The 25,854-nt window shown below is 34.6% G+C and overlaps 1 protein-coding gene across 28 annotated transcripts in view; it reads left to right on the forward strand.

Annotated features, from left to right (window-relative positions):
• The window catches only part of GRIA4 (glutamate ionotropic receptor AMPA type subunit 4), a 372,097-nt gene that overhangs the window by 278,851 nt on the left and 67,392 nt on the right, over positions 1 to 25,854 (forward strand). For 23 of the 28 annotated variants that reach the window (NR_046356.2, NM_001440383.1, NM_001440386.1 and 20 more), the window contains 4 exons: positions 9,425 to 9,583; positions 14,970 to 15,137; positions 16,353 to 16,457; positions 21,591 to 21,701. Coding sequence is in view for 27 of the 28 variants with exons in the window: in NM_001440383.1 (NP_001427312.1) it covers positions 9,425 to 9,583; positions 14,970 to 15,137; positions 16,353 to 16,457; positions 21,591 to 21,701 (543 nt within the window). In the remaining variant the exon portion in view is untranslated. Of the gene's footprint in view, positions 1 to 9,424; positions 9,584 to 14,969; positions 15,138 to 16,352; positions 16,458 to 21,590; positions 21,702 to 22,984; positions 24,663 to 25,854 lie in introns of those variants that run through there. The other 5 variants (NM_001440400.1, NM_001077244.2, NM_001112812.2 and 2 more) reach the window with 3 other exon arrangements.

Consider the following 25,854-nt stretch of genomic DNA (forward strand, 5'->3'; position numbering starts at 1 on the left):
GGATTATCATGAAAATACTGAGAAATTTTGACTTGTCTTTTTCATTGCTTTTTAGTAGGCTGTTTTAGTAGAGTGTTTCACTATTTTTTATAAAAATATAAAATTTAAGACAAATATATTCTGATATTAATTACTATAAGAGAAAAAAACTTAGGATTATGAGATAACTAAGTACAGTGAAATGTACAATGAGACTCTAATGACTTTTATAGCAAATAGGTTTTGTCATCTATTCTTACAAACAATAGAATTGAGGGGAAAAAAATCAATGTGTTATATGTAGATTATCATTCCAGAAATGAGTTGCTGACATTGGCAATTAAAATAAATAAATCAATACAAGATGGAATGAATTAATATTTGTAATACTACAAAGGATATCGTAAACAGCCCTAGGAGATGGCAGTGTATTTAAGTTATCTAGCGTTCCAGTATATGAAGTAGAAAACCATTTTTGTTTGCAGTAGGGACTAGAACCATCACTTTCACTAAAAATCAGCAAGTTTTATTATATGTGGTTGATATCTTTGTAACACATGATTAGATCAGTGGCTGCCATGGACATACATTATAATACAGTGTATTAATATGGATTCTATTGACTTATTCATTTATCCCTAAAGGACTATTACTTATAACACTAGAGTAGTTTTTATTTTATTGAGCCAATCAACAACTATTTTTGAGAGCTATGTGCATAAGATTCTCAAATGTGAAGTCAATCCAGAATCAAAATGAAAAATTACATCAACATCATACTTAAGGTTGAAAGACTGAATGATTTTCCCCTAAAATCAGGAACAAGATAAGAGTGTCCTCTCTCACCACTTCTATTGAACGTTGTACTGAAGGTTCTATTACAGATATTTAGGTAAAATCAATAAAAGGCATCCAGATTGAAAAAGAAGATTATATGTATATAAAAATACTAAGGAATCAAAAAATATTTATAGAACTAGTAAGTTCCACAGGGTTGCAGAATGCAAGGTGAATATACAACAGTTTATTGTATGTCTATATGCTAGCAATAATATTCTAAAAATTAAACCAAGAAAATATTTCATTGATAATTTACAATTACAATTTACAATTAATGGAGAACTGCTATACTTAAACCAACTCATCAAGGGTGATTTAACAGTATTAGTAAAAAACTGATTTCTACAATAACAATTCTTACTTGTGATGTTTACAAATATTCCAGAATATTTAAAATATTCTGTAGTCATAATGTAGAATATAAAAGCAGAAGGTATGAAGTCCAACTCATATTTACCAAAAAGAGAACAATGAAATTCAGCAGACATCAATATGGGATGCATGAAATTGGGTCATGAATTTACAGACATGCATTTTTGTAAAAGTCAAGGACCTCCCTTATTTAAACAAGGTTAACTCCCTGGAGAAACTGAGTTTAAATATAGGTGTTCTTTAGATTCTTTAAAAATGATAATCTTTTAAACCAAGAAACAAAGTAAGGAATGTCACTGAAATATTGGCTTCATAATGGTCTTTAAATTTTTGAGCTGAAATACAGAAAGCAGATTTCATGTAATTAAACAAAATAATAGGCAATTTCTTTGTGAATAAGGATGCAAATAGGTTATGAATGCTCTCTGGCATTATTTTAAATTGTCTTGTCATTAACTACAAGTTGAACTTTTCTTCTTCAATTAACAACCATTCAATCTCCTTCATCATTCTATCCTGATAAAATGAGAATACATTGATGTATTCTATGCCCCTCTGATCTTAGCTTTTGGAGCTATTGCAGTGTACTGGCATCTCACCTCCAACCAGGCCAAAAGAAGTAGAAATCCTTTCCCTTAATACTCAAGCCTGAACCTGCAGAAGGTCCAAGAGGAGCCACAGGGAGCTAACATCATCTGAACAGCATGAGCTATGCCTGATATCTAATTGAATGGGCATGCCCCTCCCTGATTCTTGAAATTTCTCTGATTATCTCTGCCACTATATTTAACAATTGCACATTAAGTGTGAGTAAAACTTGCTAGAAATGAAAGATTGCTGCGATTCTTTTTTCTTTTCTATGTCCTATATGGGATTTGTATGTAGGTGCATGTATGTTTTATTAAACCCATCATCTAGAGGTACTGGTGAAAGCGTATGATATCGCAATAGGTTAAGCTCTGTTCCAAAAATTTCCCAGAGAAGTAGAGGCAGGAAAACCTTATCTGTCAGTTGGTTTATCCTAGTCTGTTTCTTAGAGATTCAAGTAAGAAAATTGCTTCCCTAATTTGCCCCTAGACTTTCTCTTTCCTAGTTCTTCTTTCATTTAGCTGCCAGTTGTTTTTTAAAGACAAGTATGATGATATCGTTTGCTTAAATCTTTGATTGGCCCCAGGCTGCAAATACAGTAAAAGACATCAGATTTTTCATGACCTGATTCCCCATGGGGTTTCCAGACTTACTTGCTAATACGTGTCTCACTTCTCCTCAGAGTTTGGATGTCTCTCCAAATGACATATTGTCCCAACTCTGAGTCATTGCCCCAATTTTTACCACCATCTTTCAGAGTAAGCATTGAAAACCTAAGCACTGCTCTACTTAAATATTTTAGGAAAAAGGATTTGCACTCTTGAACTTAATGCACAAAGCCCTTTAAGATTTTATCCCTACTTGACCCCACAGTTTTTCCCACTCCACCCCACAACTATCCCTTCTTCAGACCAAACTAATTCCCAGACACCTAATGCTGCTTTCCTCTTCCCAGTTTTGTTTAGGCTGTTATCTCTATCAGGAGGTGTTTACCCCACCCAATCCTAGTCAGTGGTTACAATTACGTCTAGAAAGCTATCCCTAAATATCCACTTTGATAGTCCCTCCTCTGGGTTCTCAAACTACCCTGTGTACTCATAGTATAGAACTTATTCTTGTTTTTTCATTTATCAAATTATTATTTTATAACCCCTCTGTAACAGGTACTGTCCAACATCCCACGGCACAACTGCAAATAAAACACTGCAAGCTCACTGAAGGCAGGAACAATGTCCCTTTTGTTAACCTTATGAAAGAGTCCTTATCCCTATTCTTTATCTGCTGAACTCCTGCTTATCCTCTAGCACCCAGCTTATGTTATTGTAATTGTTTTTGTTATTATAATTGCTTTAATTTGGCCTTGAAAAAGATTTTTAATAGATACAAAAATGAGGTTCAGTGTAATTTACCCAAGATCTCGCAGATCTGAATTCTCAAAGAAAAGTTTGAAGCTCTGGCCTGTCTGATTGCAAAGAATAAATACACAAAAAAATAAATAACTTAGGGAATAATGCCACCAAGTGACCATTTACTTAATCATCTCCCACAGCACCCGTCAGGGGGACCTAATATTAAACACATTGCTCTGTATTGATATTCACTCCTCTACCAGTCAAATAATTTAAATATGGCCACCAATAGCAAAAAGGAACAGTTGACATTTGTCCCATTACCAAGACAAATTCTTAGAATCTTGTTCTCCTTTAGATTTTTTATTTAAAAAGTATTATTTAATTTACATCTAGGAGAACACCTGGCTCAATCATTAAAAAGATATAAAATTACAAAATGTTCTGGATATATAATTAAAGATGAACTGAACCTATTTCTTACCTATCCTCCACCATGTCACACACATATACCACTCACGCCTCATTCAGAACATAAAGGAAATTAAACATTAGGATACAGAGAGCAAAGTGACTTGTTTGCATTTAGGTGTTTGATTAGTTTCAGAATGGAGAGTAGACATGCTTCCCAAAATTTGCAGTCTAGCACATTTTTATTGACGTGCAGTGACCCTAGTTAAGATTCCATCAACTTGGCGACATTGTTTTACTTTTGTGCTTCCCGTTTTTTAACTTTTCTGCATTGAGCATGTCTGACTCTACCATCTATCTACATGCATATGAAAAGTACATACTTTAAGTCAATTTCTTAACTAATTTTTACAACATGGTAAGCTAGCAATTCCCCCATTCTATTTGACATTCCTTCCATTAATTGCACCAGAGCTATCTCAATATAATTTAGTCAACCTACGAAACTGAAATGCAAAATACAGCAGAAATGTTACCTGAATTAAGTAGAACTTAAAGAATAAGCATTTATTAAACAGTGATGATAGACCTGTAAATTTACATAAATAGTCATCAGGATATCTGATACCTATAATTTTAAACATTTTATTTTCCCCCAAAAGATGTATGAACTACAAATAGAAATTAAAGAAAAACCAAGTTGGACGTTAATCTAGAGAGTGGTAATTAACCATTGTGAAATTCAAGCAAAGTAGTGGCCCATTTTAACAAGAGAAAGCCTTTCCCATGATCTCCCCCTGCCCTCAGAGACTTTATTTACTGAAGTCACTTAACCACTGATTTCTTCCTGACTATGGAGTGAATAATTTTATTACAATGTTGCCCAGGAACTCTCAGATCCACTGTATTCTTTGGATAAAAATTGAAATCAAAATGGCCACCAAAATAAATGTTTCTGAGAAAACTGCTTCACTGTCTAGATCCTATCAATTTTCTATATGAAATTGTAAGAAAATATATGAAAGAAATATATGAAAGAAAATATATGTAAGAAAATATGTATGAAAATATATGAAAAATATTGCCTGTACTCAAAACAGACATAGCTGAAATTAACTGAGCCACCCACTATTCATTGAAATCATAACTGACAATGGTTTATAATCAGACATGGCAATTTTTCCCTTTACTTTCAGCATAAGAACAGGATGGACTCGAAAATGTGAACTATTATTTATCAGCTAGACTTTACATCAGATGATTTTTCTGAAGGCTGCAGCTTTGCCTCTTTATGCTGCAGCTGTGGATAACGCTATGAAAGAAGGTTTGGCAGACCTTCTATTTCAGCCATGTTTGAAAGAAAATAATAATGTCATCAATTAGCAACTAATGCAATAGTTGAATTACTGTGGCTTTTAGAAAACATTGGAATCATTTGCCTGCCTGTGGGTCTGCCGTATACTCTGATAGAAGCAAACCAATGTTCAACTGACATTTTACTAGCTGGAGATTGATGGACAGTGTTTTTCCCATTTCAGAAACATAGGTTTACTTTCTGGCGTCTAGTTTCTTTATCGACAAAATGAGAATGTTACTGATGAGCTGTCAAATTAGTGGGCATATAATAGGCATGAAATAAATATCTGTTGAGTGAATTAATTGATAATAGTGATCATTTACTGAATTCAAACCAGATGTGCTGGATACCGTAGCATTCTCATTCTCATTTTGAATGTGGAAGGTATAAGGTTAGAAAGTAACAGATGTGGAATTCAAAGTGTGGGCTTTTCGAGGGGAAACAGTATTACACTGCCTTTCCTATAGATATTATGATAATTAATAAAATTTAAAATACCTCTGTGTAAGAATATGCAGGAGTATAAGGTGAAAAAGACAAACTCAAGAGGTGGTTTGTATGGCTGGAATCTTAGCTCTACCATACATTTGCTGGATGGCTTTGAATAGCTTTTCTTCACCCCCCCGAGCCTGTTTTCATATATTTAGGATAAGGCCAATAATAGGATCTATCTCATAACCTTGTTATGAAAACTAAACTAGATCAATAATCTGTGTAATACGCTTAGCACAATGCCTGGCATATAATAAGCTCAGCATATAATAGCTGTTAGCTCGTATACCTGGGCCTCTTGACAGCAATTTTTGCTCAGTTGCCAGTAGACTGATATATTTTTTCGTAGATAGCCAAACAGCAATGCACATATGTTGGTTAGGAAGACAATCTACTTCACTATAAAAGAAAAAGGAGGAGGAGGAGGAGGGAGGGAAGAGGGAAGGAAAGAAACAAATAATCTGAAGATCCCAAAACCATAGCCAAGGTGCATTCAGAAGGACAAGCAACTCCAAGTCCTCATTACTTCTTACTCTAACTGCAGGATTATTGCTACATATTTTTTTTTTTTTTTTTTTGAGACGGAGTCTCGCTCTGTCGCCCAGGCTGGACTGCGGACTGCAGTGGCGCAATCTCGGCTCACTGCAAGCTCCGCTTCCCGGGTTCACGCCATTCTCCTGCCTCAGCCTCCCGAGTAGCTGGGACTACAGGCGCCCGCCACCGCGCCCGGCTAATTTTTTGTATTTTTAGTAGAGACGGGGTTTCACCTTGTTAGCCAGGATGGTCTCGATCTCCTGACCTCATGATCCACCCGCCTCGGCCTCCCAAAGTGCTGGGATTACAGGCGTGAGCCACCGCGCCCGGCCTATTGCTACATATTTTATTCCCACCAAAAAATAAACAAAACACTCTCCTTCATTCCCTCAGCAAATTGAAGCATATTCACATTTGCAAAAGAACCTTTACTAAATACTAAGAGAAAACAAAAAGAAAGCAATTACAAAAGCTACGAGCTCATGCGTGTGTGTGTGTGTGTGTGTGTGTGTGTATGTGATTTACTTTTCTCTGAGCTAATACCTATGGCTTTATTAATTCACTTCCTTAATAGGCTTTTTGCTCTCTTCTTGCTATTATCTGTTTTACACTTTTTATTGAGTGTGGATTTTTATAAGGTACCTAAAATAGTGGCAATAAAAGGGAGCCAGGTATAAAACAAAGGTGATAAATGGGTAGATATATAGATGGAAGATAGATAAAAGACAGATAATTGGTAGATAGGTGATAGATAATAGATACATGATAGATAATGGACAGATATAGATACATACATACATGGATAGATAATAGAAAATGTGTACACAATAGATATGATACATGAGAGGGATGGAGGGAGGGAGGGAGAGAGAGAGAGAGAGAGAGAAAATAAATAATTGTCCAGAATTTTTGAATCCTTGATTACTACCTCTAGGCAAGAAGGGATAGTATCCTTACTTCCCAGCTTCTTCGCTCCATCTGGTGGACACCATCTTTTTTCCTACCACACAGGAGTCCATGAATGGCCTATCTTGTGCTCTTCTCTTGGACTACCATTTCTCGGGGCACTTAGACTGATTCCATGACTTTACTATTGTGAATACTGCTGCAATAAACATATGAGTGCTGATGTCTTTTTGACAAAATGATTTACTTCCCTTTGGGTATATACCCAGTGGTGGGATTACTAGGTCAAATGGTAGTTCTATTTTTAGTTCTTTGAGAAATCTCCATACTGTTTTCCATAGGGGTTGGACTAATTCACATTCTCACCAACAGTTGCAGTTTTTATTTTTTCCCTTTTCTCCACATCCTCACCAACATCTGCTATTTCTTGAGTTTTAAATAATAGCCATTCTGACTGGTGTGAGATGGCATCTCATTGTGGTTTTCATTTTTTCTCTGATGATTAGTGATGTTGAACATTTTTTCACATGTTTGCTGGCTGTTTGTATGTTGTCTTTTGGGAAGTATCTGTTCATGTCCTTTGCTCTTTTTTAAATGGGGTTATTTGGTTTTTATTTGTTGATTTAAGTTCCTTATAGATTCTAGATATTAGTACTTTGTCAGATGCATAGTTTGCAAATATTTTCTCTCATTCTGTAGGCTGGCTATTTACTCTGTTGATTGTTTCTTTTGCTGTGCAGAAGCTCTTTAGTTTAGTTAAGTCCCATGAGTCTATTTTTGTTTTTGTTTCATTTGCTTTTGAGGTCCTAGTTATAAATTCTTTGTCTAGGCCAATATCCAGAAGAGTTTTTCTTAAGTTTTCTAGTAGGATTTTTGTATTTTCACATCTTATGTAGTCTTTAATCTATCTTAATTTTGGTATATGGTGAAAGGTAGGAGTTCAGTCTTCTGCATAGGGCCAGCCAGTTTCCCCAATATTATTTATTGAATAGAGTATCCTTTCCCCTTCTTTATTTTTGTTGACATTGTCAAAGATCAGTTGGTTGTAGGTATGTGACTTTATTTCTGGTTTCATTATTGTGTTCCATTGATCTGTGTGTCTATTTCTGTACCAAAACCATGCTGTTATGGTTACTATAGCCTTATAGTATAGTCTTAAGTCAGAAAATGTGATGCCTCTGGCTTTGTTCATTTTGCTTAAGTGGCTTTGGCTATTCAAGCTTTTTATTAGTTCCATATGAATATTAGAATTGTTCTTTCTAGTTCTGCAAGAAATAATGTTGGTAATTTGATAGGAATTGCATTGAATCTGTAGATTGTTTTGGGCAATGTAATCATTTTAATGATATTTATTCTTCCTATCCATGAGCATGGGATGTTTTTCCATTTTTAGGTGTCATCTATGATTTATTTCATCAGTGTTTGGTAGTTTTCCTTATAGAGGTCTCTAACCTTCTTGGTTAAATGCATTCCTGGATATTTTGTATGTGTGTGTGTGGCAATTTTAAATATGATTGAGTTCTTGATTTGGTTCTCAGCTTCAGTGTTGTTGGCTATAGAAATGCAACTGATTTGGGGGCATTGATTTTGTATCTTGAAATTTTACTGCAATTGTTTATCAGACATAGTAGTCTTCTGGAGGAGTCTTTAGGATTTTCTAGGTGTAGGATGACATCATTAGTAAACAGAGATAATTTGACTTCCTCTTTTTCCTATTTGAATGCCTTTTTTTCTCTTTTCTGATTTTTCTGGCTAGGATTGGAGGTACTATGTTAAATACGAGTGGTGAGAGTGGACATCCTTGTCTTGTTCCAGTTATTAGGAATAATGCTTCAAGCTTTTGCCCAGTCAGTATGATGTTTGCCGTGGGTTTGTCATAGATGGCTCTAATTAGTTTGAGATATGTTCTTTTGATGCCTAGTTTGTTGAGGATTTTTATTATGAAAGTATGTTGCATTTTATCAAATGCTTTTTACTGTATCTGTTGGGAGGATCGTAAGGTTTTTGTTTTTAATTCTTTTTATTTGGTGAATCACATTTATTGCTTTGCATATGTTAAACCATCCTTGCATCCCTGGAATAAAACCTACTTGATCACAGTGAGTTATCTTTTTGATGTGCTGCTGGATTTGGGGTGCTGGTATTTTGCTGAAGATTTTTATGTCTGTGTTCATCAGGGATGTTGGCTTGTAGTTTTCGTTTTTATTGTGTCCTTGCCAAATGTTGGTTTCAGTATGATACTAGTTTCATAGAATGAGTTAGTGAGAAATAGGAGACTTTTTGATGCAATCATATTTATCTCCTGTATCCCCCTTTATACTTCATAAAAGGCAATCAGAGGCATTCAAGAAATACTTGATTTGAACTGAAATAAAAACATATCTTTGTCTCATGTATTGGATTTTGAATTACAGAATTTAACAGCTAAATAGACATAATTAGATTTTCCACATCTTTTATTATCATTTTCCACATTTTTAGCCATTGCTTTATTAAAAATCTTTTAATATGTATAGGTTATTAATTTATGTTACTATTGAAGAGCTGCCATGTATAATAAACTAAATTTAACAATCTTTTGTATTAATTTTTATAGGGATTCAAGGATATTTCTCTTGAGAGGTTTATACATGGTGGAGCCAATGTTACTGGATTCCAGTTGGTGGATTTTAATACACCTATGGTAATCAAACTAATGGATCGCTGGAAGAAACTAGATCAGAGAGAGTATCCAGGATCTGAGACTCCTCCAAAGGTATTTGTTTATTTTTATCTACTGTATTACTGATAGTTTCAAAATTTAAGATGAAAAGTTTATTATACAGTTTTTCCATTAACATTTTGCCAAACATAGTATGGCATGGGAAAAAAGCATTTTGTCCTTATAACTGCCTTGCACATGCTCTTAATAATTTCTAAATTTCTGTATTTAAGAGTAGAGTTTCTAGACATTAGCTCAGGCAGTTTACTATTATTATTACAGTACTATACATATGAATTTTCTTTCAGAATTAAATTTTTTTTAATTGTTAACTAAATGCTTCAAATGTGAAAGAGCATCCGTAACTTTTCTCCCACACAGAAATCTTCATGAAGTGATTTAAAATGAGTAGGCAAATTAGGAATTTAGCAGAAATGTAAAATATACAAGCTTCTGCAAAAGTTCTTTCAAATTAACGTGAAAAATCAGGTTGTTTTCATTGTTTTCTGACTGAAATTGTGAACATATGCTATTAATATTTGCTCAGAAAAAGCTGGTAAATTTCTGATCATAAGCATATTTGATCAAACTAAACAGATAGATGACTTTCTTAGACCTCATGTTAAATTATGGCATAATGTTTCTTAAATTCCAACTTAGTGGTTTGAGCCCCTACCTAATAAGGCACCATCATCATCATTTGCTAATCTTTTACTTACAGTGTATTCCAGTAAAAAGTTTTATGTATAATTTGGAAACTCAAGCCTAGAAAAAACAAGATCTAAGGCTAGAGGGCCTCAGCTCTGCTTCTATTTTCTAATTATAATATTTCATATTGGCTATGTCCATTTCTTCTCTGAAATACTGGAATTTGGCCAGCTCAGCATACCATCTTCACTGCCTTATAAAATCACAGAATTTCAAAACAGAACATTAAATGGATGTCCACTATGTGTCAAGCACTGTTGTCCAATCCTTTGATTTTACAGATAAATACAAGCAAATTATTAAATGGATTTGTTAGTTGGCTGTCCTTGAGTCAGGGACCAGGTTCATGGAATACACAGGATATAATTATTTTAATGTCTCCTATTTGATTATATCCAACTAGACTTGTCTATGCTATAGCTTTGTTCTCTTTGTTATATAATCCTCTCATCCTTCACAACTCTTGGCATGATGGTAGGCATTCAGTAGCCATTTAATAAATAAATGCAGTACAATTAGTTCTTATTATTCACAGCAGTTATGTTCTATAAAGTCTCTTTAAATACTGAATAAGTAAATATAGAACTATTGCTCCAGGGGAAATATAGGGTTAAGTTCTGCTAGCCTCTGGTTACAAACTTTTTGTCAACTATTCAGTATATAACCTTGTTTTATGGGTGTTTGTGTTTAAAGAAACCTTATTTAATGTATTGTTGGTTCATGGACATTGAACTCCTGGCCAACAGCACCATGGTTCATGCCCGAATGAAGCTTATTTAACATGCGCATTTTCTCCATAAGGCACATCACAGCCTTCTTGCACTTGCGAACACTAAACAGCACATCAACACTATGCTTTTGGGCCATGTTAAACAGTGAAATCATCAGCAAAAAGCACAAAACTGCAGAAAACATGGCACTAAATAGAACACAAAAAGGACACTTGTTTACAGTATGAGAGCAGAAACAAGGAAACAGTGTTTCCTTGTTCAGCCACAGCTGGGACCTTGTGTGTTGGGTTACTCAAATTTTTCACCACTCTATACAGTTCCACAAATAACCACAAAAGTGCCACAAGTATCGATTTAAGAGTAACAAATAAATATTAGCAAGGAGGAAAATTTGAAAATTTAGAATCCACAAATAATGTGGATTGATTATAATTAAAGTGTACTCTAAGTGTTTAATTTTTCAACCAAGATTAAAAGCATGACTTCTGATCGTGTCACTTCCCTGCTTTAAAAAAATCTCCTGGAATCAAGGTTTTCCATTCTATAGGCCAATCAGGCCTTTCCAAGTGCATGATCCTCTGCCTCCTTTCTGATGCTCCAGCCAATGTGAGCTGCCCTGCATTTCCCCACCCTTTATCACTCCCTGTGCACGTGCTTCTACCTCAAAAGTCCTCCACCATCATGTCTACCTGTTGAAATCCAACCATCTTCCAAGGCTTTATCTCAAATTCCACTTTCTCTATGAAATCTTTTCTTTTTTCTTTTTTTTCAGGTTGACTTATTTATTTTTTTGAGACAGAGTCTCTCTCCGTCACCCAGGCTGGAGTGCAGTGTCGCGATCTCGCCCCTCACTGCAACTTCCACCTCCTGCGTTCAAGCGATTCTCGTGCCTCAGCCTCCTGAGTAGCTGGAAATTACAGGCCTGCCCCACCACACCTGGCTAATCTTTGTATTTTTAGTATAGACGGGGTTTCGCCACGATGGCCAGGCTGGTCTTGAGCTCCTGGCCTCAAGTGATCTGTCCCAAAGTGCTGGCCTTACAGGCATGAGCCACTGCGCCTGGCCCAGATCTGGTATTTGATACCACAGCAGGGTGATTACAATCAACAATAATTCACTGTACATTTAAAAAGAACTAAAAATATATATATATATATATTTTGTAAATGTGATTCCTTTCCCCCTTGTAATCTCCATAGTATTTGATTGGGCAATTCTCATCAGGGATTTCATATAATTATTTGCACACTTACTGTTTCACTCCTATAAACTCTCTGGGGCAGTAACCATCAAATACTCATCTTTGTAGTCTTCATGATTCCTAGCTAGAGTCTGGTACATTTTTCAAAGAGCTCTCAGATATGATATGAAATTTCATCCTCATAATAATCACAATAGAGAGTCACTATTATCTTGTTTCATTTCATTTTGCTCTGTTTTATACTCCATAACCAAAAAAATGTGCTTCACATTCCCATAAACCTGTGTCACAGAATTAAAATTCATCCCAGTTCTTTCTTCTCTAAGTCCATACTTTTTCTACCGCACTATGATTCTGCCCAATTCTGTCTTGTTATCTATAAATCTTAGTAAATAGAAATCATTTCATCATTCTAATCACTTATCAGAGCAGTAAATAACTATAGGGCACTATTTACCCTGCCTAAAAATGAAATGATTAGTAAGAATATTCTAGGTGCCACCTAGAACTTGTCAGCCCCTAACTGTGGATTCCTGGATTATAGCACAATAAGACACATAGAAAAGAATTATATCTTTTGAAAAGGTAAAACTGATTTAAACTACTTTTTCTTTCCGTCTATCAGCTCTATGACCTGTCAAATCCCAGGTCTTTGCCACTCTGGCTGAATGTCTCCTTTGCTCTGCACCACTCTGTGTGATACCTGCTCTTTTTTCTGGTTCACATATTTCATAAAAATAAACGAACTTTTTAAAACACAAAAAGTGCATTTGCTTTTTGGTGCCATCTCTTCTCAGCTTCTTTCTTCCTGTTGAAAAAGTGGCAATATTTTTCTTTTTTTCCTCCTTTGGTCCTCAAGTACTAGCATTGCATTTTTCTCTTGCCCTTTGTGACTTAGGCAAGATTCATTTTATTTCTCGTTTTTATTTTCTTGCCTTACGAAAAAAAGATGATTTGATGACTTTCTCTACTCAAAGATGTGTTGGGTCAGGCAGAGAAGGAGCACATTCAGTTTTGGTGTAGTACCTTGCTTAAACACCTTAATTTTTCTCAGCTACCCCATCCCAATCAATTGTGAAGGGCACATTTATCCAGAAGCTTGTTTTATCATGTCCTGGGGGAATATATAGGAAAGCTCTTAATTTACATGGTTCTTTTAAATCCTTCTAATACAAGAGTTATATCCTATACTATTGAACAGTTCTTTGTTAGAATTAATGCTCCTTATTTTATCCATGTTTTAGTTTTTCTCTTCCCTGTAATGGTGGTTGCTATGTCTCATGGCCGTGTTGCCTAAGTTTACTTTCTTTTCTTTTCTTTTTTTTTTTTCTTTCTGAGACAGGGTCTTTATCTGTCACCCAGGCTGGAGTGCAGTGGCACAATCATTGCTCACTGTACCCTTGACCTCCTGGGCTCAAGCGATCCTCCTCCCACCTCAGCCTTCCAAGTAGCTGGGACTATAGGTGCACACAACCACGCCTGGCTAATGTTTTGCAGTTTTTGTAGGGATGGGGTGTGGCCATGTTGCCCAGGCTGCTCTTGAACTCCTAGACTCAAGTGATCCACCCACCTCAACTTCCCAAACTGCTAGGATTACAGGTGTGAGCCACCATGCCCAGCCCTAAGTTTACTTTCTACAATTGGAATTTCAAATGATTTTTCTTCATTTGAAAGCACAAAATCAAGGAGATCATCCTCCACTTTCTACAGCACAAATCTACTGCTCAAACAGGCATGGAAGGTGTTAATTATAAGGAACTGACCATATGGAATTTCTAAAGGAGATAATGTAGTTTTTGCCATGATTAGTAGTTAGTAGTTGATACTATTTAGCACAGTGACTAGTACATACCCATTTTTTGAATAAGTAGATCTGTCATGCTTCAAGAAAATTGTGCCCCATTTCCATGTGTTCAGGAATTTTCTAATAAGTCTCTACCACAAGCGATCCCATGTTGATTTATTTTTATATTTAGAAAACTACATTTTTATCTCAATCTTTCCTCACTTTTTCCCCTAATCTTAATAATCTTTTCTCAGAGGTGGGGGGAGCTCACTCTTTTCTCAAAGAGAAGCAGATGGTCTACCCTTCACATCTCCACTTGGATCCTAGGTTATATTGAAAACTTTGACCCTAGGTTAACGAAATGACTTTGCCTTCCTGTGCACCTGCATTGGGTGTGGTGTGGCAATATCCATTCCCATTTAGCATAGTCACTGATGCATACACATTTGTTGGATAAGTAGATATTATTTCTGGCATCATATTTCTGAATAACAATAAACAATTCCACTCATTCTTCTGGGAGACTGAACAAAGATAGATACTTCAAGTCCATGAACTTATATTAAATCTCAGGGAACCTTGCTAGGCCTTTTGGAGCAGGAAAAGATTAAGAGGCCCAGCCCTCCTGGGGTTCAACCACAGAAACCGACTACAAGGCAGATTACAAAGCTGCATTAGCCTTTGATACATTAGCTATTTGTACTGGGACACAACAGAAAGGCCTTGCCTAGGGGTCTTTCTTCTCCAAATTGATGGAAAACTGTTTTATTGGAATTTCTATTTTTCAGAATGGTTTTTCTCCTTTTTAAGTCAGGATGATAAGATTTGGTATACAGGCTTTATATTAAAGCAAGAATAGAAATTTCTGAAGCTAGAGTCAATTAATTATCAGTAATTTAACCATCCTTCAGACAGAATGGTGCTTTATGTCATAAACTTACAAAGACCCCAGACCATTTCTGGCACTCGATAAGATTTTAACATTTACCATTATGTTCATTTTCATTTGGTTAGTACACCTCTGCTCTGACTTATGATGGAGTCCTTGTGATGGCTGAAACTTTCCGAAGTCTTAGGAGGCAGAAAATTGATATCTCAAGGAGAGGAAATGCTGGGGATTGTCTGGCAAATCCTGCTGCTCCATGGGGCCAGGGAATTGACATGGAGAGGACACTCAAACAGGTAACTCACAATTTTATTTAAGTTCAATTCATTTCATGGTCTTGTTTTAACTGAATGTTCAAAAAACAGACTAATTTATCCAAGCACAAATACATATTACAATTGCTACTTAAATATATCAAGCCATCATTTTTGGAACATTTCTACATAAAATACAAGGTAGAATCTTGCTGTTTACATTTTATGTGGATGCATAATCAGGATAAGCTAGGTTATGTTGCAGTAATAAAAAACCCAAATCACAGTGACTCAAAACAACAAAGGAGCTTTGCTTATTCAGACACACGTTAGATTAGCAGGGGCTCTTGGCTAATTGTAATCACTCGAGGACGTAGGCTTGCAGAGCAGTTACCATCTTGAATTCTGCAAAGGGAAATGGATAGTTGGGGGCAGGTTTCAAATTGGCAATTAAATTCTGTGGCTTGATAATATCACCTGTCCTGCCTATTTACAACTCATATGTCAGAAAGAGTCTCATGGGCCTAGCTAACCACAAGGGGTTCAGGAAGTATAAGCCCACTTGGGTCCTGGAACATACCAGAACCAGAAATAATGACTACCTCTGGAGATCTTTAAATTGCTTTGTAACTTTGGATTAAGTAGTTTATTTTAGTCTTTTATAATTATACTAACACTATTTGTTCAAATAATTAAGGTAATATATACATATTTAATGTTACATTTTAAATGTTCTGAAATGTCACAGGTTCAAAACATAGGTAAAAGCAAATTAAAAGGAAATTTGGAATAAAATATATTTCAATATTTTCAAAAATGTCCTTATACTTTTTGCTTCTTATATCTTAATTTTAATATTAGCAAGGTGAGAATATGATCTGGCATAAGTATCAGGGTTATTTAATCCATTTTGTGGATATATAGATAAAACTGAAAAGTAACCATAAAAAATTGCCATTCCTATAAAAATACTTTACAATTGAGGGAGGATTCTTCGACTAAAAATGGAAACTTTATAATAGTAAAAACAAATAAAACATATTCCTCTTCCAGGGGTATAGCAAAATTGCTTATACATCCCTTTGATATTCCTATTTCAGATGCTATCCCAATAGCTCAAATACCTAATGGCATTTCAGTTAGTTGGTTATAGTTTATAGTTCTACTTTTTTAAGTAGTTATAAGCCCAGCAGATGAAGTTAAAATTCCTATAAGTGAAATTGCAAGTGAACACGTGTGGTTTTCTTTTTCACTTAGGTTCGAATTCAAGGGCTGACAGGGAATGTTCAGTTTGACCACTATGGACGTAGAGTCAATTACACAATGGATGTGTTTGAGCTGAAAAGCACAGGACCTAGAAAGGTGAGCCACGATCAAACTGAAAAACAGAATTCTCTGTTTCTTAGTTTGTATGTAACATTTTAAAGGTGTACAGAAGAAAGATGGCTGAACATTTCCTTTTTTTGTGAGTACTTACAAATACTTTAGTACTTTCTTTATAATCAATGCTGTGATAAATGTGTGTGTCATGTAATTGTATTTAGTAGTGTGCCCAAGCTGAAACAAACTAATTTATACACTGTTTATATCTCTTATCCAAAATGGATGCAATATTTTGGGTGGGGTTAGCAAAAAGAATCCCACAAAACAAAATTGGCTCTGCAGAAGAGAACACGAAGCAGTAAAGAGACATAAGCACCTCAAGGTAGTCATTTATGAAATTATTAGAGCAAGTACAAACAAACTACTTCTAATGGGTGAACATATTTAGAATAGGCTGGGTGTTCTTGAAGTAATCAACTAGATAAATTTCAATGACCAAAAGAGAAAGAAGATGGATGGTAAGATTATTATTAGGCTGAGAGGGAGAGAAACATCTAAGTTGTTCAGGAAGGTGCTGGTGCTAGGTTCCTGGATTTGGGAAGATAATTATCTAGTGGTAAGATGTGAATAGGTATAGGAGCGGTCTTCCCAGCATTCAAGTACTTTATACAGTGCAACCATACAGCCCCACCACAGTAATTGGTTATAAGTGTTTTGTAGCTAACTCATGTAATTTTTAACATTCCTTTTATCTAGGAACTAGGATGTTCAGGGAAACAGATATTCAAGTTAACCTTATCTAAAAGCTGTATTTGGCTGTTTAAAAAAAAAATTTCCAAAATATATTTTCATGTTTTTATGTAATGATAACTGCAATTTATGAAATGCCTGCTGTGTCCTAAGCACTGGACTTGGTGCTTTGCATGATTCCATCCTCATGACAAACCTATAATTTGAGTAGTAGTATTTCTCTTTTTTTCAAATGAGAAAATTATGGCCCAATAAGTTATCTTATCCAAAGCCTGTAAGTGAGAAAACATATTTTACTCTTAGTATTTTCTCCCTTACTGATCTACATAGGAAGAGATGATTTCCTGCTGGAGGAAAACAAAGAAAGGAAGGCTGCATGGAGGAGGTGGGATTTAAAATTGCCAGGATGTTAGAGTTTGGATAGGATGAAATGGAAGGGGCAACAACCGAAGAAAGGCTTGGAGGCAGGACCATTAAAGTTAAGGTGATATATGGAAAATGGCAAAGGCTTTCCCAGTTGCGTTTTGCTTCAGTCTACAATATGGGTGTGCTTCTGTATCTGTGAGAAGTTTGGAGCTGCCGTGAAAACCATCTCTAGATTTCCATCTTCTTAATGGCATAGCCCTCGTGCAGGCTGCCAGCTAATACGTGGTAAGCTGGAGCCTACCTGATCCAGATCAGGAGTGGCAGGAGATGGATGGCAGCCGGGGGGCCCAGCTGCACCTCACAGCAGGCTCTTCTAAGGAGATTGACTGAAGCAAGGGAAGGAGATGTTAAGAACAGCCCACTCTACCAGCACACAGCCAGCAACAAAAAAGAGGCAAGTTTTCATTAGAGATCCTCTGCTAGCTGGGGAGCAGATAGGATATTCCACAGGCCCCTAAAAATGTTAACAGGTGGACAATGCTAAATGCTAACAGATGGACAAAGGTAAGACTGGCTCACCTCCTTGCCACACACCAGACCTTGCAAAATTTGCCATTTAAACAGAATATTTTAAAACGCAAATGACAATTACTTATTTTACAAAACTATAAGTGCAGAACATCAAATCATTCTCTATAAGAGAAAGAATAGTGGAAAAAGAAAGCTGGTGCTAACTAGCAGTAATATGAAGTGGGCTATTCATAGTACTGAATCTTTTCATAGCCTATTGAACCATGATGGTAACAAAAATTAAGACTTTTCAAAGAGAAACTTAAGGAGTAAGTTGGGAGAGTGATGAACAGTGCATCTTCACACCCAGCTGACACTCATCTAAGGCTCTTAAAAGAAATATGAAGTATAAAATGGTGTAGACTCATCTATCTTCTTTTTTCCATGGCAACGATCAACTCGGGCATTGTGTCAGGAATATTAAACTTAAAAATGAGCTACCATGAGAGACACTATGCTGGTGAAACTAGGCAATGTGTCTGAGAAGTGAGCAATCATTCTTGTAAATTGAACACTTGCCAGCAAGGGAGCTATCTTTGAAAACAGATCAGAGAGTCAACCCATCAGTTTGTCTGACTTCTGCAACAGGAAAACTGATAGAGAGTCTCATTAAGCAGAAGCCACAAAGCTCTTTCTGAAGTCCCAGCTGCTAAGTACAGCAGAATCTTCTTATCACTCCAGTGACCCCCATCCAGGGCTCCAGAGGGAATGCTCCAGAGCTGCATGGTTTCAGAAATCTTTAATTGTAAAAATTTCATGTATTGAGAGCACATTATATGCCACACACTGTAATGGAAAATTGATGTGCATTTTTATATTCAATCCTCATGACAACCTAAAAATAAGATATATATTTTTTTCTCCTTTTATCGAAAAGTAAGGTTCAAAGAAACTAAGTAACCTGCTCAGAGATGCTCAGCTAGAAAGAGGTGGAGCTGCAGTAGAAACCAAAATTCCTGCAGCTCAAACCAAAATTCCTGAAGCTCTAGAGCATCACTCAAGATCTTGACTCAGGTTTCAAGATCTTGAAACATCATCAGTCCCACTGCCTATAAGGGTTTAGGGCTGGTGTGGGAATTAGGTCAGATTTTTCAGGGCAGGTCTGATCAAAGCAGCTCTCCAAGGAACCAACTTTGAGTAGAACAGGAGCTCCTCACAGCCGCTCAGTCCCTATCTGTTCTCTATGTTCTAGGCCAAGATCATCCTAAATACAGACACATTTTCTCACATATCTTAGTATAGTTACATTTGCATACAAATCACCTTTAGGAGTCCAAAGAAGGTGAATATTTTTCTGACATCCCTTATCAATTTAGTGATTTAAATGCTTCCATATTTTTGCTCTAGCATTACAAAACCACTTTTCACTCACTTTTTGTCTATAGGAAAAATATCCATTTCCCTGTCTAATTAAATGAAATCAGTCATGGGAAAAGTTCTTAATAAAATGCAAAACGCTGTGAAGACTAGAGAGAGAAATTCCATCTTCTGTGAGGTCTGGGTCCAAACTTTAGGATTCCTTTCTTTAGGAACTGACCCCTCATGTGGACTTACTTCTAAATAAGCCCATGGTCCACATGAAATCTACCATTAATTGGTCCCATATCACAAAATATGACTTTCTCTTTTTTTTTTTTTAACCAGAATTGCATATAGGTATAAGGCCAAAAAAAAAAATAAAGTTTGCTTATTATTTTAATTTGCCAGCACTTCTGAATCATTTATCTTTAAAAGGAGAATAACTGCAAACCCATGGTTTAGTTTTTAAATGCAAAATGTCAAGGTCTTGCCAATATCTAGGTACTCTCCAAAAATGTATCCCAGATCTGTGATTCTCTCTGTTGTGGAACTCATTAATAAAGAAAAATTGTCTTTCCTGAAAATTGGCTGATGAGATCTTCAGGGTGGGTGCATTTTAATGGAGTGCTAAACTGTAAAACCCCTTTTCATGTCATATAACTGTCATGTGGAAAGCAGAGTTAACAAGAATCAACTGACTTAAGTACACATAAGAATTGAGGAGAGGGTGGGTCTCAAATATATACTTGTTTTAAATTAAAAATTTCACATAATTATTAATAAATGTCAATCAGAGATTGATTCACAGGGACTATTGAAAAAACTTGCTGAACTTATAATTTTGGATCAAACCAAGAAGTGTAGCAAGCCGTATTAATAAAAAGTCTTTTTCTCCATCTGTTTTGTTATTGAATTATATATGCAACACTTGTGAATAATCTAGTGCCTCTTTCTGACACGTTAATGCTTACTCTATTTAAATATGCTCATAAATACTAACATGGCAGTTGAGAAACTTGAATTAGGCAAGTGAGACTTCCAAAACATATTAGAACAAATAGTGAATACAGACCAGTGAGCAAATGCATACATTTTATTGGAGACATGAGTTTTATCAACTGAATCAAGAAATTCAAGAAAGAAGTTTGTCACGCATTAAATGAACACCCATTTTAGAAGGTCGCATAGCATAATAGCAAAGCATGTAGACTTGGTGTCATATAGACCTGAGTTTTGAATTCAGGCCCTACTAAAGTGTAACTTTGTGTAATTTATTTAGCCTTCTAAAATGAATCCTCATCTCTAAAATGTGGACAATAACTGCCCCTACTCCATACTGGGTATGTGTATTAACTTTAAGACGTATACTTTTAAAAAGCATTGAGTACATTGTCTGCCTCAGAGCAAGCACTCAATATGTAGTAGCCATTATTATTGCTTAATGGTCTGCAAAAAACAAAGAATCCTAAATTTCCATTAAGATCCCATTGTAGCTTACTACTTTGCAGAGTCCTTAAGTAATTACTTAATTCATTTTTAGGAAAAAGTGTTTGACTTCTAAATAAAAAAAATTTTAAATGAAAAACATACAAATTTAAATGTAATATTTGAAAGCGAAAACACTGACCACTAATATTCATCTCTGATGTAGTTAGCATTTCAAAAAATGGTAAGATTGTTACCTAGTGGCTAGGTTATATCAAACCCAAAACCACTCCTGTTTTGCTTTAAAAATATACAAGTTTCTTTTGCTTGAAAATATTCTGTACATGTTCTTCTTAGAAATCTGGCTATTCCCTTTACTATACAACCTGTAACTTTATTGATAAAGCCACACAAATTAATTTAGGGGGCACCAGTCTATCTCACTAGAGGAGGGGATCTGCATAAAATAATGCACCGTGCTCATATTCCTTTTGGAATCACCATTCCCAATCTCTTGGTCACTCCACTATTGTAAACAGTAAATTTGCCAAACATGTAACAAGACAGGATCCTTAATACCAGGAAAACTGACTCATGAGCAAGTAAGAACACTTCTGAACACTTTTTTTTTTTCTGTTGGCTTTTGTTTTGTTTGCTTACATTTGTTTTGTTTGCTTACCTATTCATACCCTTCATTTTTCTAAGAAGAACTAGAGTAAATGCTTCTAAAATATGTTTTCAAGCATGTTCTCTATTTGGCAGGTTGGTTACTGGAATGATATGGATAAGTTAGTCTTGATTCAAGATGTACCAACTCTTGGCAATGACACAGCTGCTATTGAGAACAGAACAGTGGTTGTAACCACAATTATGGTAAGTGTTGGTCTATGCTTTATGGTGTTCCGTTTTGTCCACAGGCAATTTTAACTCCCCAGCGACGGTGAACAGGGAGGGCAAAGCTGACTGTTAGCAATGGTGACATGGGTGTTCTGATCCACAAAATCCTATTGAGGCTTTGAATAGGTTCATCCTAAGCTTCGAGTTCATATAGTACTTTTATTTGTATTATCTTTTGTCACATTGTTGTTCTTGGAAAAATGCTCAGATGTTAAAAATTGAGACTGTCAAACTCTAGTTGGAAATGTATGAAATGCTAAGACCCTAAAGCACAAAACAGTGAACATGCCAAAGGTCAACCACCAATCACATAAATATATCCAGTAGTAAACATATTATTATTGTTACTATGTTTTTAAAAAGTCAATGTAATAATAATTAATAGTGTTTAAAATTATAATTTTCAGGTAGTTCAATCATCGGATAATGATTTGTATTGTCTGTTTACAATAGTGAAGATGTGACTGTGAAGATTTTAATGAGCATGATTTATATAACTAAATGATTTAGGAATTAATTTTGTTTTATTTTTATTTTGAATGAGAAAAGGGTTTTCTTCCACCGATTATTTTTCTCATTAACCAGTGAGAAGTACACATTATAGTTTATTGAACTTCTAAAAATTAAGAAGAATACGATTGCTTCATTTGGCCACATCAAAAAATGAAAAATCCTCTAAATTTTAAGGCTGCTTTTTCAAAGAGATTCTCATGAAATTACCTTTTAAATAATAGAATATCTTATATATTTTTCTCTTCTAAAGTCAAACATGCCCTTTAAAGTCAATGCTAGTCAAAAGAGATCAACAATCGGTGACCTTTTCTATCTCATTTAAAGTTATATATACTCAGCTCACGTCTCTTTAGGCAAAACATATTTTAAATCTTTATGGAAACCTTACTCTAAATACAATGGAAGTATTTTATGTAATTTAGTTTTTAGCTTTTGTCATTTTAGTTTCAGGTTTTTAGTAATGTTGAGTTGTTCCCAAAAGTGATATTAAGGTTAAAGCATGAAAATGCCAGAGAGAAGCCTTCATATGTTGTACTTAGTTTTAACTGTGTTGCATCACCAGTCAGTAATTTAATGTAATCTGACAAGCCTTCAGCAGAAGTTTATGATTTTAGAATGCAAACCAACCAACAGCAGTTTTTGCGTAAACTTTCTAACTTAATTGTGTAATATTTGCATGGGACTTGAAAAGCAATATATATATATATATATATATATATATATATATGTTTCTTTTCCTAAAAAAGACACAGTAATGGAAAGTCATACTTCAGTACAGTCCTCCTCTTTTCAGCCTCTGATGAAGAATCCTATTTTAAGAAATTGATCAAGAAAGAAAAGAGTTCCGCGCTGTTCGACCATTCCTAACTAAGGCTCAAGTCTTGTTCTCCAGTGTAGTAAATTTAAGCTTATTTTTCATGTGGGATTCTTCTTGGATGACCAACTCTGGACTACCAGAAAAAAAAAATTTTAAGTTCTGTGACTTTTCTGAGATACTAGAACAAAAGAAGAATTAATCTTCATCTTTCTCAAGAAATAGATGTTGACAAAGAATCACTTAGCGATTCTGACATATCAATTCCCCTATCTTGAAATGAGGTCACTGTATGTAAATGATGGAATTATATCACTCCATTTCCAAGGGTAGATTTTCTATAAGTAAATATCTCGGAATTTGTGTGCTTGTTTTCTGAATATATACAGTTGTTTTCTTTAAAGATCTCTTGGAATTTTGCCTGTTCTGTGTGAAATAAAGTGTTTTAATGTGCATTATAGGTATGATATAGAGAATCTCCTTTCCATCCTTGTTACTAAAGGGACTGGACAAATAAATCTTAAAACCAAAATACTGAATTAATTTTGCAAGCATGGCTAGTTTTTAGGAAGCATGCTATCAAAAAAAAAAAGACTAAAAATGACTGAAAAAATCCAACTGTTTTATATATATATAAATATATATATATTTATATATATATATAAAGGATATTCTGTAAAGTTATATGTTGTTTGACAGTAAAGCCATCAATATTTTTGCTATCAAAATAGTATAATACTAGTATCTTTTTGTATGAAAATGTAATCTTTATATAAATAATACCTCTGATATTTGCAACTGCATAATCGTTCAGTAATTCAAAAAGACATACTAGAATCCTTTTTCTGAAAGTGTTCCTTCAATTTGCTTTTGTTGAAAACGGTAGTCCAGGACCTATGATATCCCTCCACTTCATTCATTATGAAAGAAATCCCTTGTAGATAAACAAGATATTGGCATCTGCATGTAATTATCCCCAGATTCAGCTGAAAACTCCCAACACAGATGGAATTGGCTAGACATTTTAATATATGTGATACCTATATCTAGATATAGAAGGCTGAGAGTGAGCACTGGATATAATTCATTTTGATTGAAATTGATATGGTGTTATTGTTCTTCCAGTTGTCTGTCCTTTGTGTATGTTCTTATTTATATGTTGATACACTGTAACACTATATGCTATTGCTAAATAAAATTGATTGAGAAATTCAGTTATTCATAAATATTTATTGAGCGTCTGCTATGTGCTAGGCACAGTTCTAGGCCCTGGGGATATGTCACAGACAAAAATCCTGCACTCAATGAAACTTATAGTATATTGAGAGAAAGCAGACCAGAAACATAATTAAGAATTATATTAGCTATCTTTATTAAATATAATGTAGTGTTAGCTTTTATGGCTGTTGAAAGTTATTTTTTCTTGTAACAGTGTTGTATATCTACAATGTGATTTTCATTTTAATAATGAATTTATTCTACCTGAATATAATCATACTGAATATACCACAGCAAAATCTAATAGAAAATAAAATTAATATCATCATTTTTATCTTTAAGTCTTGTTGACTAAAAATGTTATAAAATCAATAAAATTTATAAGACTGTGACCATATTGATTTAACTTTTTGTATTAAAAGTAATCATTTCTGCAAATAACCCAAAGAAGCCAAATCTATTCCATGTGGTTTGGATAAATACAGCAATTGAGGGAAAAGCAGTTTACAGTAGATCTTGGGAGAAGGGAGGGTGCTGTTTTCCTCTGTAATCTAACTACTTTCTTGGCTATTGAACTCTCTGGAAAAGGGGAGATAATACAGTGATGTTTCAGACAAGCTCCTTTTTTCCCCAAAGCTTTACTACCGAAGTTAAGGGATGCTTATGATGCATTGCTCAACTACAAAGATTTTCTTACCATCTCATGAACACAACAATCCTTTAGGCAAATTTTCCATAAAACTAAATTTATTCACTCCAGTATCAGAATTATGTTACAAACCTAAAAGCAATTACCCTTATCACACATGATCTTTCCAGAGGTTATTTTTTGTACTTTTTATAAGATGTTTGATATTTTTTCTTCTCTATGTAAAATTCTGTAGATGCACTATACATATATATGTGCATTATAATAACATACACATGCATATTTATATAAAATGTATTATATATATATACAGACATACATACAGAAAATTAAAATGTATTTTCTTCCTTATACAAAATATTAATTTTCCTATTTCACATCACTCACTGAAGAGCTTATAAATCAGTTAGTTTTTAAATAATTTTGGCTAAATTTAAATTTTTTCAGCCATTAGATTTACTAATTTTTTTTCTGAATTGAATAATAATATCTTAATTTTCACTTTTAAGAATTTTATCCATGGGATAAATTATCTACATCCATTAAGATTTTTTGGAGAAAACCAAATATCCACATAGGAAACAACATTGGTTAACACTGATCTCATTATTTTATCAACTTTCAATAGTAATTGTAATAATTATATTTGTAATGTTTAGAAAATTTTGAAGCCTTTCTAATAAATATTTTGTTTCGATAGTTCCACTTTTGCTAAATGCAAATAATCCAGAAAAATCTCCTTGGTAGGAAAATTATATTTTATTGATTAAAAATCATCATAATTAATTTACATAAATACTTTCATAAACAAGCCCTAATGTAGCAGCTTTAAACAGAGAGTGATTTATCTCCTGAAAAGCAGAGCAGATGTAGAACCCCATTCATTAGAGAAGCTATCTTAATATACAACTCATATTCACTAAGAAGTAATACAT

The sequence above is a fragment of the Homo sapiens genome, chromosome 11 (genome assembly GCF_000001405.40).
Source record: "Homo sapiens chromosome 11, GRCh38.p14 Primary Assembly".
NCBI classification, from domain to species: Eukaryota; Metazoa; Chordata; class Mammalia; order Primates; family Hominidae; genus Homo; species Homo sapiens.